Raw genomic sequence first — 20,623 nt, forward strand, 5'->3', positions numbered from 1 at the left:
CTGTTCCCGCTGTCATATCTAGAAACAACCTCAGGGTAACTAATTTCTCCTTGTTGTGCTTTGCCTTTTCTGGGAGGAAAGACTTCCACTGGCTTGGCAACATGGTTCATGCCTGTAATCCCAGCACTTGGGAAGGCAGAGGTGGGAGGATCACTTGAGCCCAGGAGTTCAAGACCAGCCTGGGCAACATGGTGAAACCCTGTCTCTACAAAAAAAGAAAACCACAAAAATTAGCCAGGTGTGATGGCTCATGCCTGTAGTCCCAGCTACTTGGGAGGCTGATGTGGGAGGATCATTTGAGCCCAGGAGGTCGAGGCTGCAGTGAGCTGAGATGATGTCACTGCACTCCAGCCTGGATTGCAGAGCCAGACCCTGTCTCAAAAAAAAGACTTCTGCTGATTATAGTTGCCAAATATCTGTGTCCAATCAGTTGCAAAATACTACCTCATGCAGAGTTCATAAATCCTCTTCCTTCTCCTAGTTTAGCTTTCATTTTAAAAAGTTATCATAAACTCACTAAAACCATTAATTCATGTGTTAAACTATCTGAAAGGTAGGGATGCTTCTTCAGTGTGTTGGGTGTGGGGTTGGGAAGACTTGCAACTTTGACCCAGAGTGACCTGAGATAACGAAGTTTCATAGTAATGGCTAATTACTGTTACCCACCTCTTTATTATTAATTCCACAATTCCGGCACATAAAATAACTTAATCATTTTCAGAATTTGCATGACTAATGGAGTGAGTTCTGATAGAATAAGGATAAGTTTCATAATTAGGTTTTGCTGGGAACTTGTGCAAACCAGTCTATTTATAATTTGGTCAGCTCCTGATTTTTAATGAGGACATTGAGAGGGACTAAAGCCTCTGGCAGCATTCACTTCATATTTTAATTACCCACAGTAATTCTGACAATTACACATATGTCATAAATCACATCATAATGACCCGTGAAGCAAATGTATTTAATTACTGAAAGGGGAGTTTTCAGGTTAAATGCGTGGCAGGGTATGCCGTGATGTGAGCCACATTTGAAAACCAGTAGCCGGGCGCGGTGGCTCATGCCTGTAATCCCAGCACTTTGGGAGTCTGAGGTGGGTGGATCACCTGAGGTCAGGAGTTCCAGACCAGTCTGGCCAACATGGTGAAACCATGTCTCTACTAAAAGTACAAAAATTAGCCAGGTATGGTGGTGCACACCTGTACTCCCAGCTACTCTGGAGGCTGAGGCAGTAGAATCGCTTGAACCCAGGAGGTGGAGGTTGCAGTGAGCCAAGATTGAGCCACTGGACTTCTGGGTAACAGAGCCTGGGTAACAGAGTGAGGCTTCATCTCAAAAAAATAAAAAATAAAAATAAAAACCAGGAAAAAAAAAAGAAAGAAAACCAAGCCTCTTGATTCTGTGGCCTAGGAGAAGCAGTCTTAGTGAATAAGGAAAGCTGTGGTTGAATTTCCAGTTTTAACTCTGGCTTGTAAAGATCTTTGAAGTCATCACTCCTGTCCTTACAATAACAAAAAAACTAAACAAACTGAAAATTGGAGACTTTTCTTGGCCCATCAGTGAAACTGAGGTTATAGGGCAAAATCCAGAAATGTGGAGAATCGCAGCTGAGATCTGCTCACTGGGGGAAGCACTGAAGCTGTAAACTAGTAGGAATATTTACATGATAACTGGGATAAATTACTAGAGGCTGAGTGTGGATAAGGTATAGAATGAGAAACTCCTGGGGGCACACTTTGGAGGGTTTTGCCTTCAGAAATCCTACCAGGCTCTAGGAATTTTCCAATGAAAGGCCTAGAAAAAGTCCCTCAGAGACTGGCAGGGTGAGAGAAAAAGTAACCATTGTGAAATAACAACCAGTGGCCGGATACGATGGCTCACGCCTATAATCCTAGCACTTTGGGAGGCCGAGGCGGGCAGATCCCCTGAGGTCAGGAGTTGAAGACCAGCCCGACCAACATGATGAAACCCCGTCTTTAGTAAAAATACAAAAATTAGCAGGGCATGTTGGTGGGTGCCCATAATTCCAGCTACTGGGGAGGCTGAAGCAGGAGAATCGCTTAAAGCCAGGAGAAGGAGGTTGCAGTGTGTGAGATCGCACCACTGCACTCCAGCCTGGGCAACAGAGCAAAACTCTGTCTCAAATTAAAAAAATAAAAAAAACTGAAGTCAGGAGTTCGAGACCAGCCTGGCCAACATGGCGAAACCACATCTCTACTAAAAATACAAAAATTAACTGGTCATGGTGGTGGGCGCTTGTAATCCCAGCTATTCTGGAGGCCGAGGCAGGAGAATCTCTTGAACCCAGGAGGTGGAGGTTGTGGTGAGCCAAGATTGTGCCATTGCACCCCAGCTTGGGAGACAGAGCAAGACTCTGTCTAAAAAAAAAGAAAAAGGAAAAAAGAAATACAATCAGAGCATTCTCCATTACAAGGACCTGCTCTCCAGGGAAAAAATACTTTCCCAGGGCTTTGCCTCAGCTGAGGGAATGGCATGTCTCCTACTCTACCCCTGTATCACCTGAAGAAGAAAGGAGAAACATGGGGAGTTAAGATCCATGCTGATGGTCACAGCCTCCAAAAACAGACCCACGAAAAATCTGAGACTTCATCATACAATCATATAATCTTCCCGTATCCCACACATTACCACCACACCAATAGGGCTTCAGTATCACAAAAGTGAATTATAGTTGAAAGAGGTGCAAGGAACAGATTATTCAAGAAGGAGTTCTTAGGAAAACCCAAAGACAACAAAGTAGACAAAAGCAATGACACTAGAGGAATTTAGAGCCTCTGAAAACTGCAGCTACAGCAAACAAACAGTGCAATTCCTAGCTAGATTAACATAAAACCTCACACTGAACACCTATTTACCTCAGTTCTTATTATCCAATATAACATATCCTATTGTAAAACAAAATTGCAAAGAATGCAAAAAGCCAAAAACAAAACAAAACTCTCTCTGAGATGTTCAATTTAAAACCACACCATTTATAAATTCGGAAAGGAGACTTTATTTCTTGTAAAAGGTTACAGCCTGTAAGGTGGCCATCCCACAAGCCGGGAAGTGTGCCTCCAGAAAAAAACAGAAACAGGAATTTCAAAGGAGAAGGGGTTGAGGTAGGAGATTTATGTTGAACAGGTTGGCAAAACAAACGTATTCAACAGGTTACAGGAAGAGCTATGGATATGCATGCAACATAAGACCCATGTTTACCTTGGGGTGGAGACTTAATATTTTTTTAATGTCAGCTTTAGGGGTACAAGTGGTTTTTTGGTTATATGGATGAATTGCATCGTGGTGAAGTCTGAAATTTTAGTGTACCTGTCACCAAAGCAGTATGCATTGTACCCAATATGTAGTTTTTTATCCCTCATCCTCCTCCCAATGTCCCCCTTCTGAATCTTCAGTATCCCTTATACCACTCTGTATGCCTTTGCATACCCATAGCTTAGCTCCCACTTAGAAGTCAGAACATACAGTATTTGGTTTTCCATTACTGAGTTACTTCACTTAGAATAATGGACTCTACTTTCATCCAAGTTGTGACAAAATACATTATTTTGTTTTTTTTATGGCTGTGTAGTATTCCATGGTGTATATATACCACGTTTTCTTTATCCACTCATCAGTTGATAAGCACATAGGTTGTTTCCATATCTTTACAATTGTGAATTATGCTGCAATAAACATATGTGTGCAGGGGTCTTTTTGACATAATTACTTATATTGCCTTTGGGTAGATACCCAGCAGTGGGATTGCTGAATTGAATGGTAGATCTGCTTGTGGTTCTCTAAGAAATCTCCACACTGTTTTCCATACAGATTGTACTAATTTACATTCCCACCAACCGTGTAGAAGCATTCCCTTTTTGCCACATCCACTGTTTTTTGACTTTTAATAATGGCTATTCTGGCTGGAGTAAAGGTGATATCTCATTGTGGTTTTAATTTGCATTTATCTGATGATTAGTTGAGCATTTTTCTGAAAACGTTGAGCATTTTTTCACATGTTTATTGGCCATTTGTTTTTTTTTGTTTTTTTTTTTTTTTTTGGAGAAATGAGACATTTAAATGTATCACAACTAGGCCCTAAACATCAAAATGCCTTTTCAGGGCATGAAGGCATGTAAGAGTGTATCTTCTGGAAACCGGCCAGAACCAATCCATGGTTGATGGTCTTCTTATCTGTAGAAAGTGCTGAAATCAGTCTCTTGTCCAATAAAAGCTGTAGTTATGGCTGGTAGAACAGAGATTAGTTAGTCAGAATGTGGTGGTGAACTACAAATTGTTTTAATATTGCTCATCTTGAGGTCAGTGCTTGTTTAGCTGCTAGAGAAACAAACAAAAAGCTTTGTGGCAGTTAGAATGTCATTTATTTCTTAGGTGTAGGGTACATGACTTAACCCTTGCCTAGAATGGCCTTAAGTTCCATTTGTAATTTGGTATCTTATTGCCACAAAGTGTCTGTTCTGTCAGTCTTATAATCTCTATTTTAACATTAATACTAGTCAGTAGTTATGTTGAAACAATAGAAGGGACGGGGGTATCATGAGGCTCATCTAATCTCCTCTCCTGTCATGGCTGGGAACTCAGTTTTTAAAGATTTTTCTGGGTTGCCCTTGTCCAAGAGGGAGTCTGTTCAGTTGGTCGGGGAAAGGGGGATTTAGAATTTTATTTTTATTTTATAGAGGAGAAAAACCAAGTAACAGAAACAAACTAAGAGATGATGCCAATTTGGAATTATCAGAATTTGAAATAAGTATGATTAATATGTTAAAGACTCTGATAGAAAACATAGACAACATGGAACAACGAATGGACAATGTAAGCAGAGAGGTAGAAATCCTAAGAAATAATCAAAGGAAATACTAGAAATCAAAACCACAGTAACAGAAATAGAAAATGCCTTGATTGGCTCACCAGTAGACTGGACAGTGTGAAAAGGAGAGTAGCTTTTCCTGCCACTCCTCCCTCCCCCACAACACCACTCTGGCTGCACCGTGCTCTGAACTCCAGGCTTCTGCTAAGCTAGTGCCACCTTCATCTCCCTTCAGCCCCATCACGATTATCTTCCAGGACCTCATCAGCCACAATGAGATGTTCTCTGACATTTACAAGATCTGGGAGATCACAAATGGGCTGTGCCTGGAAGTGGAGCAGAAGATGCTCAGTAAGACAACAGGGAACACTGATGACTCACTCATTGGCAGAAATTCCTCCTCTGAAAGTACTGAGGATGAAGTTACTGAAAGCACGATAATCACTAGTGTTGATATTGTTACAAACCATCACTTGCAGGAAAGCATCTTCACAAAAGAAGCCTACAAGAAGTATATCAAAGATTACATGAAATCAATCAACGAAAAACTTGAAGAACAGAGACCAGAAAGAGTGAAACTTTTTATAACAGGAATGAAGAACAAATCAAGCACATCTTTGCTAATTTTAAAAACTACTAGTTCCATTTTTTTTTCTTTTTGAGATAGGGTCTCGCTCTGTCACCCAGGCTGGAGTGCAGTGGCACAATCACAGCTCACTGCAATTTCTGCCTCCTTTGTTCAAGTGATTCTCCTGCCTCAGTCTCTTCAGTAGCTGAGATTACAGGCATACACCACCATGCCCAGCTAATTATTGTATTTTTAGTAGAGACAGGGTTTCACCATGTTGGCCAGGCTGATCTCGAACTCCTGACCTCAAGTGATCCACCTGCTTTGGCCTTCCAAAGTGCTTGGATTACAGGTATGAGCCATATGCCCAGCAAAACTACCAGTTCTTTATTGGTGAAAACCTAAATCCACCTGGCATGGTTGCTCTGCTGAACTACCGTAAGGATGGTCAGTATGACCCCATATATGATTTTTTAAGGAATGGTTTAGAAATTAAAAGATGTTAAGAAATTTGGTAATTACTTTGGATCTATCACCTGTCATCATAACTGGCTGCCACTTGTCATCAACACAACACCAGAGATTAAGACAAATGAGACTGATGTCATCTTGAGCTTTTTAATTGTTTTGACTCTGACTTATTTGGTGTGGAGGCATCACTTTTAAGGAAAAAAAAACTTGTCATGTAGATTGTCTAAAAATAAAATGCATTTAAACTAAGAAAGAGAGGGAATAAGTACTCTTGAGGATACATCTTCAGAAATTTTCCAAACTGATATAAAAGGGCATAAAGAAGAATACAAAATAAGAACAATATCAAAAGAAAGTGGGACAAATTTAAAATGTGAATATATGCATAACTGGAATATGAGGAGGAGAAAGAAAAATGGAGAAGAAGAAATGTTTGAAGTAATAGTAGCTGAGACCTTTCTAAAATTAATAATGCCAACCCACAGACCTGGAAAGCTCAGAAAACAGGTAGGATACATAACAAAATATATACAACTATGCATATCATATTCAAACTGCTAAGAAAAAAAAGAGAAAATTGCAAAAGAACCCAAATGAAAAGAAGTCATCTTGCCCATGGAGAAACACGGAAAATAATTATAGTTGTCTTTTTGTCAGAAACCATAAGTAAGAACAGAGTGAAGTGAATTAAAGTATTGAAAGAAAAAACCCCATCAACCTAAAATCCTATTTGCAGTAAAATTTTTCTTCAAAATTGAAGGAAACAGGCAGACTTCCTCAAACAAATTTTCTTCAAAATTGAAGGAAACAGGCAGACTTCCTCAAACAAAAACTGAGGCAGTTTATCACCAGCAGGCTTACCCTAGAAGAAATGTCAAAAGATGGTAAGAAAGCCTTCAGGCAGAAGGAAAATTATATAGATCAGAAACTGAGATCTATATAAAGAATATTCAAGACAGAATAAATGAATTAATTTTTTTTATTTTTAATTGACTTAAAATATAACTGTTTAAGGTATTAATAGTAAAATTGTATGAGGTGACCAATATACCTAGATACTTGAAATGAATGACAGCAGCATCATAAGAGATGGAAAGGATGAGTTGGAAATACTCTGCAATAAGCTACATGCACTATACATTAGGCAGTGTAGTGTTTTTCAAAGAGAAACTTAAATCAGTTAAAAATATATATTGCAAATTTGAGGTCAACTCCTAATTTAAAAAAATATATATAAGTGTTGTGTTGTGCTACAAAAAGAGATAAAATGAAATCATATAAAATGCTCAATCAAAACCAGAGAAGACAGGAAAGAAAGAACAAATGTAACAAATTAGAAAACAGTTACAAATGTGGTAGACATTAATCCAACCATATCAACAATCTTTTCAATATGAGTGGCATAAATACAATTAAAAGACAGCTATTGTTAGAGTTGATAAAGAAACAAGATTCAACATGTGCTATATATAAGAAATCTACTTTTAATATAAATATTTGGACAGATTAAAAATAAAATAATGAAGAAAGATAAATCATGCTAACACTTATTACCTTTTTTCTTGATGTCTATTGTGTTTATTATTAGTATAGCCACTACAGTTCTCCTTTAATTACTATTTTCATGCCGTTATTTTCCATCCTTTTACTTTCAACCTATTTTTGCTTTGAATCTAAATTGTGTCTCTTGTAAATGAAATACATATTTTATGAATATTATTACAACCTCTGTATTTTTATTAGTGTAATCTATTTATACCTAAATTGATTATGAATAATGAAGCATTTAAGTCTGCTATTTGGTATTTTTTATATATGTCTCTTGTCTGTTTTTAATCTATTCCACCATTACTGCCTTATTTTATTGTTAAATAGATATTTTCTATTGTACCATTTTAATTCTCTTGTGATTTCTTTTAGAGTATTTTTATTTTATTAGTGGTTGCCTTGGAGATTACAATTAACACCTTATAGCAATATAGTTCATATTAATACTGTCTTATTTTCACTAGTACATAACTATTTTACTTCTATGTAGCTCCATTTCTTTGCCCAACTTTATGCTATGATTATCATACAAATTACATCTTTATAATATTATAGGTTCATCAACACAATCCTATAACTGCTTTGCAAACTTGTATTTTAAGTCAGACAAGATAATACAAAAGGATGGATGGATGGATGCTTGGAAGAATGGATGGATGGATGGACTGATGCATAGAGAGATAATACTATCTTTCCTATTTACCTATGTAATTAATTTTACTGACACTCTGTTTCTTAATGTGGATGCAAGTTAATGTTTGTCATCCTTTCATTTCAGCCTAAAGGAATTGTAATACTCTTTAGTATCGTTTGTAATAAAAGTTTGCAAACAACAATTCTGGCCATTTTTCTTCATCTGAAAATGTCTCCATTTCTTCATCATTTTTGAATAATACTTTGTTGGATATAGAATTCTTAACTGATAAGCCTTTTTTTTGAGAACTTTATATATGTTCTTCCACTGCCTTCTGGCTTTCATGGTTTCTGATGAGAAATTAGCTGTTAATCTTATTAAGGATCCCTTGTAGATGCTGAGTTGCTTTTTACTTGCTGCTTTCAAGATTCCTCTTTGCCCTTGGCTCTGAACAATTTGATTATGGTATATCCAGGTCTGAATCTCTTTGAGATTACTCTACTTTAAACTTCCTTTAGCTGCTTAGATATGTAAGTTAATGTTTTCATTAAATATGTAAAATTTGTGTCCATTATCTAAGTACTCTTTCTTCTTTCTCTCTCTCCCCCATTTCTGAAACTCCCATTTTGTGTATGTTGATACACTTGATGATGTCCCACAGTTTTCTGAAGCTTCTGTGTATATTTCTTCAATAGGTTTTTATTTCTATTTTTCTGACTGCATTATCTCCATTGACTTATATTCAAGCTCATTTATTCCTTCTTCTGCCAACTCAGATCTGCTGCTGAGCTCCTTCACTAAAATTTTCTTTTCAGTTATTGTACTTCTTAACTCCAGAATTTCCATTTGTTTTTTTCTTATAATCTATCTCCTCACTGATATTTTGTATTCAGTGCTATATTGTTCTCATACTTTTCTTTAGTTCTTTAAAAATGGTTTCAGTTAGTCCTTTAAATATATTTATAATGGCTCTTATAAAATCTTTGCCTAGAAAGTCTGGGCTTCCTTCCGGACAGTTTCTATTGGTGTTCCCACCCCCCACCCCCCACCAGGTATGGTCCATACTTACTGTGTCTTTGTGTCTCATAATTTTTTGTTGAAAGCCAGGCATTTTAAATAATATTATATGACAACTCTACAAACTATTTTGCTATGGTTTATTGTATATTGACACTTAAATCTCTACTCAGCTTTATGATCAGCTAATGATTGCACTGAGATTTCCTTAAATGCCTTGAACTGATAAGTCTTCTTATATTTGCCAAGGGATTCTGTGTGCATGTTGAGGTAATTCCTTTGACACTTTAGCAGTTTACATCTTTGCCTAAGCCTTCATTTTTGGTTTGTGCAGTCTCAAGATCAGCCAGAAGAGATTAGGAATACCTCAGGTTTTTTTTCCCCTGGGTGTATTTACAACTCTGCACATGCACATGGTTTTATTTTTATTCAGTTTCCTACAGTGAATGTTTCAAAACCTTTTAATACCCTCTATAGAAGTCTGTTATTTTCTTTTGTTTTATTTGAGACAGAGTCTTGCTTTGTCACCCAGGACAGCATGCAGTGGCATGATCTCAGCTCACTGCAACATCTGCCTCCTGGGATCAAGCAATTCTCCTGACTCAGCCTCTCAAGTAGCTGTTATTACAGGTGTGAGCCACCATGCCTAGCTACTTTTTGTTTTTTTTTGTTTTTTTTTTGTAAAGATGAGGTTTCGCCATGTTGCCCAGGTTAGTCTTGAACTCCTGGCCTCTGGTGATCCACCTGCTTCAGCCTCCCAAAGTGCTGGGATTACAGGCATGAGCCACCACATCTGGCCCTCTCTATAGACTTCTAATTCTCCAGCTTTTTCTTTTGAAGATTTTTATGGGTCTTTTTTTTTTTTGCGACATTGTTAACTATAACTCAGATATTTGCAATTTAAAAAAATTACTGCTGATTATTTTTTTAAAATGCCTCCGGAAAAATTCCACTGAGAAAACTCCCAGGCCAAATAAAGATAAGCCCTGTGAGTGTGCACTTCCAGGGAGCTGCTAGAAAGCTCAAATAGTAACATATTCTGTGAATAAGGATATTTAACAGCTTCAGATCTATTTTTTCTCTCTGGTGGCTGCTAGACTGCTGGTTTTCAGAGCTACTGTTATTGTAAGGCTTCTGATCTTGATGGCTACTGTTGAACTAAAGATAGTGGAATGGGAATAGCACTTCTCAAAAATGCCATGAAGCTTATTGTTCTTACCAAGATCTCACCATTTTTCTTAAACAAATACTCCTCATATTGTTTCAAGTCTCCAGTTTATTTCCAGAACTCTGAAGATGTTGATTTTGATAATTTTTTTGTCAATATTCTCATTGCTTGTGTAGAATAGTGAATATTCAAAGGCCCTAACTCTGCCATTCTGGAAGAATGTCCCTTGTAGTTACTTTTTATAGTTATTTTTCATCTTCCTATTAAACTTGTAATGGTCCCTTAACCTGGTTTAAGACCATCTCTTTGCAGCAACGCCTTCCTTCATCTCTAACTTGACACTTTTAATCTGCAAGCCAAAAATCCAAAAATGTTAGAAATATAGATAATTCATGAAAAAATTTTCGATTAACAAATGCCACTGAGTATTTGTGATATCTTTGGTCTATGCAAATGCTATTTTAAAATGATGTCAGGCTGCTTTCTAGATTAGAAGTCAAAATCCACTTCACTACCTGTTTTTATATGGTTTGCCATACAAAAGCATTGTGCTTAATTTCAATGAAAGTATACTGTGGTAAAAGACTACAATATATGTTGATATTATCAAACTTGGCACTTATCACAATATTCTCAATTCATGGTAAAGCCATGGTTAGAAAAATTATAAAATTTTAAAAGAACATCTTAGCACAGCAGAATTTGTAATCAAAGTTTGTTTCTGAGTGACTCACTTGTTAGCCAAGCAAGAGAAGTCATTTACTAATGGTGAATCAATTAAATTGTGTTTGATTGCAGCAGATGAAAAAATGTATCCAGACAAAATAAAACTACCTAGTACTATTAACCTTTCAGCAAAAATCACTGCTGGAAGAATTGAAGACATCAGAAGCAATATCAATATCACTTAAAAATGAGGAAAATAGTTGTGAGTGGTTTCTCTCAGCTTTTAATATGTTAACATATGTTACTGATACAGCTTAGTTATTATTTATTCAAGGAGTCAAGGCAGAGTCTGAAGTACCTAAATGGCCTCTGTGAATAGTCTGCATGGCACAACTACCTGTGAAAATATATTCAAAGAAGTTGAGAAAATATTAATTCAGTATAATCTGAAGCGGAATCTGCTAAGATGTATTACAGATGATACAAAAATACATGTAGACCAGAAACAGTCCTAGTTAGACAAATTTACAAAGTTCGTAAAATGTAAAATGCATAAAGACTATAGTCCTTATTGTGTTATCCATCAGAAAGTATTTTGTGAATAATATATTAATTTATCATGAGTTATTGAACCAGAAGTGTCAATGGTGAATTTTATTAGCTCTCATGAACTTTGCCATTGTTAGTTCCATAAAGTTTTGTAAGAAATAAAATCTGAATATCCTGACTTACCCTACTACACATCAGTTTAAGAACTTAACAATAGTAAAGTTTTTTGTGATTTTTTTTTTTTGGAAACAGAATCTCACTCTGTCACCCAGACAGAGTGGGTGCAGTGGCACAATCTCAGCTCACTGCCCCCCCAGTTCAAGTGAGTCTTCTGCCTCAGACTTCCAAGTAACTGGGATTACAGGCACTGACCACCACGCCCAGCTAATTTTTATATTTTTAGTAGAGATGGGGTTTCACCATGTTGTCCAGGCTGGTCTCAAACACCTGGCCTTAAGTAATCTGCCCCCCTCAGCCTCCCAAAGTGCTGGGATTGCAAGCATGAGCCACTGTACCTGGCCTTTTGTGTTATTTTAAAAACCTGGATCAAGATTAAAATGTTTCTGAATAAGAAGAACTGTGCTGTCAACCACTATTTCCGAACACTAAATGACTTCAAAACTTATTATTCACTGCAGGTTTCATCATCTCTATTAACAAATTTAAACTTGAAAGTCAAAGCAGAGCTAACATGTGAAACTTATACTATCATAATTACAATGACAATTATCAATCTTTGAATCACAATTAATGTCATTCTTCTTTATATACTTCCCATGCTGTCAAAAGTTAAAATAAAAAATGAGATTACTATTTCCACACAAATTTTCTGTAGATATATTTTCTGATCTCAGTTTCAGCATTGTCATTTTAGACCTTGATGCAAGTGCTAAAAAAATTCTATATTTCAAAGTTTACTTAACAATGCAACTGAGAAGTTTCTACCTAAACTTTCATTGCAAGTGATTAATCTGCAACATAATGACATACTAAAAGGCAAATATCAAAAGAAGAATCTAATAAAATTCTATAAATGCCTTCTAAGCAATAAATATACTCAATTATTATAGAATCTTATGCTCTTGGAGCACTATTGGTATTTGATAGTACCTATCTGTGTGAAAAGACTTTTTCAAAGATAAAATATGTTAAATTTTGTTGTTGTTAACATTAACATATGAACATTTGCAATTAATTTTGATTATAGAGAATATTAACTATGAATGCCAATTTTTAAAAATCCCTTAAAAATTATTTTTTTATTAGTAGACCTATAATTTAAGAAATTTAAATTACTAAACTATTATATTTTAAATATCATCAATGAATATTTATAAAAACTTATTTTCTTTCTTGTTATGTAAGTACCTACATGATATCGATTTAGCCTCTTGGCCTGAAGAGCTTAAAATATTATATCTAGCCCTTTGCAAAATAAAATTTGTCAACTCTGTTCTAGATAGTTAAGATGAACAGTATCACATCAGATGTCTGGAAACAATAGTCAAAGATTAGATTTATGATAATTTGATAAGAGCAATAATTTTCATTCCAAATTATTAATAAATGTTTTGAGTTTAGATTAATAGGTTGTTGGAAAATTCAGAAAAGTAGGGGTAAATAATACTTTTAAAGAGAAATTGACTCAATTATATAATCTCAATTTTCCATGGAAACAAAAAGTAATAGTACAGCAGATAAAGGAATCAAATAATAGAATGCGATGATCTTTAAGACATCTAAAATTTGGTGTGTTTACTGTTGGACTTTTACCCCTGGAACTCTGAGAAAGAAGGTCCGTTCCTTTGAGGTGATCAAATAGAAGAGGTTGGAGGAAGATTTCAGAGAACATGCAGTTTATTTTCTTTTTCACACAGTAAAAAGAGCTTAGACATGATTGGGAATCTATTTCAATGGAGCTTTTGATATGAAAAAGAAAGAGATTATAGGAAAACATTTCTTCTTGCAAAATAATCAAGAAACTGATCACCAGGAAGTGAGATATTATTTATATTTGTATTAAGATAGTTTCATACAGATGCCAATTTATTCTAGTCTATAAAAGCCAAGGTTGATTACCTAAAAAACTTTCACAGTACACAATTTTTCATCTTCCATTTACTCCACAAGATCAGTAAAGAGAGATGCATGTGCTTCTGCCTGAGTTATAACTAGTGGTGAACCATGGGGTGATTTTGTTCTTGCTATGGGACAATAGCAAAAAGAGTCTGAGTCAAAACTCACTTATCAGCATGCACAGTGGTTCCACTGTGCAGACATTTGATTATACATAAGACAGAATTTTATTGCCAAAAGCTGTGTGTGTGTGTGTTTGGTGGTGATTTTCAAATTGTAGAACAATTTCCATAAAATTTATAGAATCATTCTCTCTCTCTCCCTCTCTCTCTCCCTCTATTGTAGAAAAATTCCCATAAAATTTATAGAATCATTCTCTCTCTTTTTCTCTGTCTATCTTTTTTCTCTCCCCCCATAAATGGCTGCAACTAAGTACAAAACATTTACAAGGAAATAAATGACTTCCAGTATTTCCCTCTGGAGCTTTAGAATAAGAAGTGGAACATCTAAATAGTTTCTTGATGCAACAGGTCTTAGCTTCAAGGAATCCAAATATGAATGTCACCAAGAGCCACACATCAGGAAAGCTGAGGAATTAATGACCTTTAGAAACTCCATTTCAAATTAGAGGTGAACAGAGCAGGGTGAATATCCTCCTTCTTACCCCTTTTCATTTTCATTCACCTTTAATTTAAAAAACTAAAGCACAGGAAACATCTAAGCATGAGTGCCCCTGCCTTATGGAGGCTATCTCACCCTGCACTTCTACGGCCCACTAAAAAATTCTGACGCTTACCTTTCATCCCTAGTCACAGACCTACACTAATCACATCTTCTTGTTAAAGAACACTGTCCATAACCTTTTCCCTCCCACAAGAGACTTCTAATTTTAACTTTTCATCTTTAATCAAGGCATGCCTCCTTTTAAAAATAGCCATTGTGTAACACACAGATGGGGAGGACTCCATGTCGTGAGTGATCCCAAATGGCCTCCATCTCCATTATCTCCATTGCTTCTTGATAGGTCGCTGGTACTAAGTAAAATGTTGTAACACTCAGGATGCCTGTATTCACAGGCTTTCCTCCAGTGATGGCTTCCAGATGTGAGGAAATTTTTAAAGTTTGTGGTCCTCAATGCATCATTGGGTCCTTCCAATGTTTTCAAAAATCCATAATCACCAGCACACTATGTTGACTCCATTTCAACATTCAGCCACAGGGATTTCAGAGAAACTAAGCAATATGGATAAGAAGACTTCACAAATAACTTCCTATTTCTAGAGAAAAGACATTAAAATATTCATATACCCTGCAATTATTTTAATTTCCTCTGCAGTGTTTGATACCTGCCCCCTGTATCCCTCTCTCACATACATAAACACGTGCACCTCACACCAGTAACATTTTGATGGGTGCTATTGTTTCCAGTCCCAATTCCTTTTGGGGGTTATTAATGTTAATAATTTTCCAGGCCAAGCCTCCCAACCCACTGCATAAGGAAAGCATTTATGTCATGTTGAACCCTGACCTGAACTCAATCCCATAAAACCTTGGGAAGTGGATCAATACAATGAAAAGGGAGGTAGTTTTCAGATATCTCATGCTCCGATTCCCCATCTCCATACCCCACCAAAAAGGAAAAAAGAAAAAAAAAATAGTCTTGTGTCTGAAATTTGCATTTGTTTCAGTAATGCGTTTTAGGATTGAAAGTGTCAGAGTAACTGACTTCATTGTTCAGGTCCTTGTCCAATACACAAAGAAAACCTTATGCCAACAACTGTCTATGGGAGGGAAGTATTTTTTATTTAGATCAACTTCTACACTTACTATGCAAGTTGATATTTAGAAAGTGTTGGAGAGTGTGGGAAAGAGCACCTAAAACTACAACCTTATGCTGAAAAAAATTGGCTGAAGAAATTGCTATCATGAGGATTGAGACTTGCCCTGAGCTGAGGGCACAGACTCTGACTTTTATTAAAGGTACCTGCTGCTCTGGGTCATGTCTCATCTGTACTAACATTGTAGAAAATTCCAAATGCAATTTCCATGAAATATAAAGGGATTTAAATGAGGGTTCATCTGCAGAATGGGTGAGAAAGAGGGAAATTGTCTTTTTATCTTTCTCTTTTCATCTGGTAACAATTTATACTCAGAGATGCCTATACAAATTCATAGAAAAAGCGCTGCAGAAAAGCTGTCAGTTTTTACTCATCAGAAATAAAGCAAAGCTTAACAGAGAGAAGTTCAAATATGGGCTTAGATGTGGGTTTATCTAATAGAAACTCTATCCTAGTCTTGCCTCACCTGGGCTGGGGCCACTCTGATCTTGGGTCTAACTTCTAAGCTAGAAGATAGAAAAAAAAAATGCCTTCGTGGAGATTTTAGATTGTAAACATTGAAAACAGAGGCCATGAGTTTGACAGAGCCCATCTGTAAAGCAGCATTTAAAGGCAAACAGAACACTCTGCTCACAGCTGATCTTGTTTACCTTAGAACACAGTTTACATTCTCCTACGTAAACTGAAATAAGATTATACTGAATAGAATGATATCCTGAATTTTCATATACCTCCTTTTAAAAACACCATTTACAGATGTTTTTTAAATCATACCTATTATCTCTACTATTAAAGTTTATAATTTAATAATGACTTCATGAAGACTCTGTGTATGCAAAGAATCAGGAGAGACCAGGAAGCAGAGAGAGAGGTTGAAGAATACATAGCCTGTTTATCTTAAAACATTTCAGGGCTATTGGCCACCTAGCTGTCTTCTCTGTCTTCTCTTCCATTAAACATCAGCAGAACTCTTCAATAAACACAGAGGTGTAGAAAGTTTTCTGCACAACATGGAAGGCTTTCTAGGCATGATATTTCAAGTGTTTTATTCTTTCTTTCCTCCTCTTCCTCCCAGAGAGCTTTTCAAATTAGCACAAACAAGTATCGCCATTTGGGCAACAGAGTGACCAGTTTTAACCCTGAAAGTCTCCATGTCCTGGGAAACCCAAGCAAAGCAGAATGGCCGGTAGACAGTGTGTTTATTTTCCTCTTCCCAGATGGTTTCCTAAGGTTTTCCCAGATGGCAACCAAGGGGGCTTGGTGCTTTGGAAGTAACCAGGCTGCTGTCAACGTATGTCACATCCCATGAGATTTCATGGCAGGTCTTTTTAAAATTTTACCCGGTAAAGGAGTAACAGCAAGGATTAAGTGGCTAAGCTGGATGCAAGACACAGAGCCTGGTGCCTATTTCACTCCTCATGGAAAAGGAAGGAATCGCAGAGGCCTTTCTAACAGGGAGGGTGAATTATGTCCCCAGTTGCTTGGTCCTGAAAGTTTCTTGGCGCTCACAGGATCTCTTTTCAGCTTGCTTATACACAGGTTTCTGGGGAAATGAACTATATAAAATTATCAATTTTTTAAACCTTAAATTTCCCTCCAAGGTAAAATAAAACGCCTCATAAAGAATAAACAGCAATGAGATGAAATCCAGAAAAATTAAATCATAATATGGCCATAAAGATTAGGCTCAGTTTTTAATATTTGACTACAATATGTGTATAGGTGTGGGAGGGGGTATGTGAGTAGGATCAGGTGGGAAGCACTGATTATGTAACCTGCCCTTACATTCCCCAATTTTAGGTGATTTTTTTTCCCCATAACATACAGAAGTCATCAGAATTGACAATAAGTGAGTATTTCCAAGTCAGTTGTAAACTGAATAGCCTTGCTATTTATAAAGTCATTGGAGAGAGGGCAGATGTAGCCTTTGATATACAAAAATCTCAGAACCATCAAAGGCATCTTGGGACACAGGATTTTTTTCTTGATTTTTGGCTAGAACTTGACTATTATGCTCAAGAGACAGTCACAATGGAGTTTTCAAAAGATTGAACCAAGAAAGCCACTCAAACTGCTGGACACACAAATGCTTTTCCCTCCTTCTATATATGCTAGAACTTCATGAAAGTTGTTATTTTTGTAAAACTCAAATCTTGCCCCAAAAATATATTGCTCTGCATCCAGGCCAGAAAACTCTCTTAAGAATTTACAAGCCATCTGTGGGGTTTTAAGGAAATTTCAAGTAGAATGGTCATAAGCCAGGATTTCCTAACACAGCCGAAAGTGAGGTCTACAAAAGAAAAAAAAAAGGGAATTGTAGAGGCTTTTTGAACTTTCTAATAAATATTGTGAACAGTGGAAGATCTCATTTTTTGGCAGATCACCTTCAAGAATCATCTGAGTCAAATCTGTAAGTTGGAGAAAATAATGATGACAAATTTACATTCTTGGAAACCATGCCTCCTGAACTAGCACAGTGAAACCTAGTCCACCTTCTTAATAGAAGTTTTCTTACATGGTTTGGTCTCTCTCTCATCAGGTGCCATGACTGGCAACCAAAGGCACAGGGTTTATTTATTTTTTCCTTTAACTGATAGGATTTATACAGGATAAGTTGCTAGGAACATGGGAGAATAGAAGTTCTATTCAGAATGGTCGCAGAAAACAGAGCTGCCTTTCCCTGCTGGAAGACGTTCAAGTGACACGTTCTGCTCATGAGGCAACACGTTCTGCTCATGAGACACAGTCTTCATGCATATCAAAGCAACCCAAAGAAAAGCAGTCATCAGAAAGGAATGCTTATTTGCGTGCTGCTCTACACAGCCACAAGTGGATAGGCTGCAAAAACTGTTCTTATCCAGCAGCTTCCAAAGCTGAAAGCTGGAGATGGGACCCTGAGAACATTTCAAGGTTCATTGCTTCCTGGATGCTCCCAGACAGAAATACAACACGCTGTTGCTTGGGCAGTAAGAAGCAAGACTTGTGACCAGGGAACCAACCCCACTATTATCCCAAACACATCCTGCTGAAGGCCACCCCACACAACTCCCACCACATTTCTTGCCAGTCTCTCCTACAAAGCCCCCTCCACCTTGGTCAGGCTTTGACAGGTCTTTTTTGACCTGAATGGTACCCCGTGGCTACCTTTTCCTGCTATAGCATAACCTTTATGTTCTATTCTTTGCTTCCATGTTCTAAGACTGCTAGTGCTGAACATTCCCATAGATGATTTATTAGTCTCTTTAGTAGAGTATGTTTCTATGAGGATCATGACATTTGCAAAGCATATGGCAGAACGGAGCTTTAGTTAAGGGATGGTGATGTAAATTGCATTCGGTTTTGCTTTGGCAAGGACACCAGATGGATGCCTTTATGATGAAGTGGGTTTCCTCCAGCATTTTTTAAATATCGGTCTCCAACAGGTGTTTCCTTTAAGGCATATCTGTTTTTCATAACATTAGAATGAAGAAAAATGTTGTCTGTGACAGCTTGTATACATATACCACACTTTTATTATGATAAAAATGTACAGTGATTGATTCCCTATTCTGAGTCATGTTAAAATGTGCTTGGGAGAAGATCATCTTAAATTTGCCAATAGGGCATTTAACTACCAGACCAAAGACTCTTCATTTATCATGAGGGTGGAGAGGGTGGAGAAGGAGGGGAAGTAGAGACAAGCTGAAGAAAGTGACCAGAAGGAAAGTAGTAGTAGCAGCTGTAGACTTGAGTGCTGAGGGCAGACAGCAGGGAACCACCTAAAAGGTAACATAGCTATTTCCAAATTGTTCTCAAAGAGTCCCTGAAAGACAGTCACTACCAACTTGGTCATGATATGTAAACACATGTTCTGAGGATCCTAGGGAGAGTGTCTAGGAAGCGACTCTTAGATAGAAAGAGGTTCTACGGATGAATTATATCATTCATCAATGCTCCAAATCCTGATGAAAATCAAGACCAGACTCAGGTATTAGCTGTGCTTGCTGGTGAGTCCCATTAACAAGCTTGGCATAAGGCTGCCATCAGGGTCCTGTCTGGTATGATTAAGAGAGCCGGTGGGGCTTTTGGAACTTGGTGTTGGAGCACATGGCTTATAGATAGATATTTAAGTTGCCAAAAGACATGTTAATTTGAATGAACAGGGTAACCCATTTTGGTCAAGCTGACCTTGAAGCTTATATGTTACATTGTCTAGCTAGGCAAATGATTAGAATTCACTAAACCCACTAAGTTTATAGGTAGTTCTTAAGTGCAAGAGGAGATTAAGGATTGCATCAAGACCTTGGCCACTCTTATTAGGAATTACCCTCTCTGACTTTCCAAACCTGTTTCTAGTATCCCGTTCCCCCTACCCTGGCTTCTCCTTCTAGGTCTTCTCTGTCCTATTACTTTAAGTTTGACACTTCAATCTAAGTTGGAGTAAGTTCTTTTGTCTGAAAAAAAAATAAGATGTAAGTTATCAATTTAGAAGCTAGCCTGCTTGAGGAAAGCAAAATTGCTTGTCATTATGTTGAGGTCTGAGTTTGGGGGTGAGGCATTGAATAATAAACTGTATTAATTCACAAGGAAACCCCCTAACCCTGCAGCATGAAGGGGAATAGATTGTATTTCTCCCAAGATGTAGAGTAAAATCGCATGGGAGAACATTGTTATCAGTTACATCTGAGATGAGCAGGACTGAATCTGTAATGTGACACACAGTACAGTATATTCCAAAAGGCTGTAGGGGACAATAACAGATACTTTTAAATAAATAAATAAAATAAGTAAGTGTGTAAGTAAATAGTAAAAGCTTTTGTGGTCAGATAAGTTGTGAAACACTGGATTATACAATTTTTAAAGGATTTCTATATTGCAGAATTCCTTTTATATGCTGTTGTCAGAATCTTTCACAGGCCAAAGTGCACTGTGACTATATTAGTTTGTTCTCACACTGCTAATACTTGAGACTGAGTAATTTATAAAGGAAAGAGGTTTGGTTGACTCAGTTTAGCATGGCTGGGGAGGCCTCAAGAAGCTTACCATCGTGGTGGAAGGGGAAGCAAAGAAGTCCTTCTTCACATGATGGCAGGAAGGAGAAGTGCAAAGTGAATTGGGGGAAGCCCCTTATAAAACCATCAGATCTCCTGAGAACTCACTCACTATCACCAGACCAGCACGAGGGTAACCATCCCCATTATTCAATTACCTCCCACTGGGTCCCTCCCATGACACATGGGGATTATGAGAACTACCGTTCAAGATGAGATTTGGGTGGGGACAC

At 37.2% G+C, this 20,623-nt stretch overlaps 1 protein-coding gene, 1 long non-coding RNA gene and 1 pseudogene across 8 annotated transcripts in view; 2 read left to right on the top strand and 1 right to left on the bottom strand.

Annotated features, from left to right (window-relative positions):
- KCNU1 (potassium calcium-activated channel subfamily U member 1) overlaps positions 1-20,623 on the top strand; it is a 151,752-nt gene that overhangs the window by 99,038 nt on the left and 32,091 nt on the right. The gene's annotated exons all lie outside the window — the stretch shown is intronic.
- The window catches only part of LOC105379375 (uncharacterized), a 43,292-nt gene that overhangs the window by 1,496 nt on the left and 21,173 nt on the right, over positions 1-20,623 (bottom strand). The window lies entirely within an intron of this gene.
- Positions 4,959-6,119, top strand: TPT1P8 (TPT1 pseudogene 8; annotated as a pseudogene).

Source organism: Homo sapiens, chromosome 8 (genome assembly GCF_000001405.40).
Source record: "Homo sapiens chromosome 8, GRCh38.p14 Primary Assembly".
NCBI classification, from domain to species: domain Eukaryota; kingdom Metazoa; phylum Chordata; class Mammalia; order Primates; family Hominidae; genus Homo; species Homo sapiens.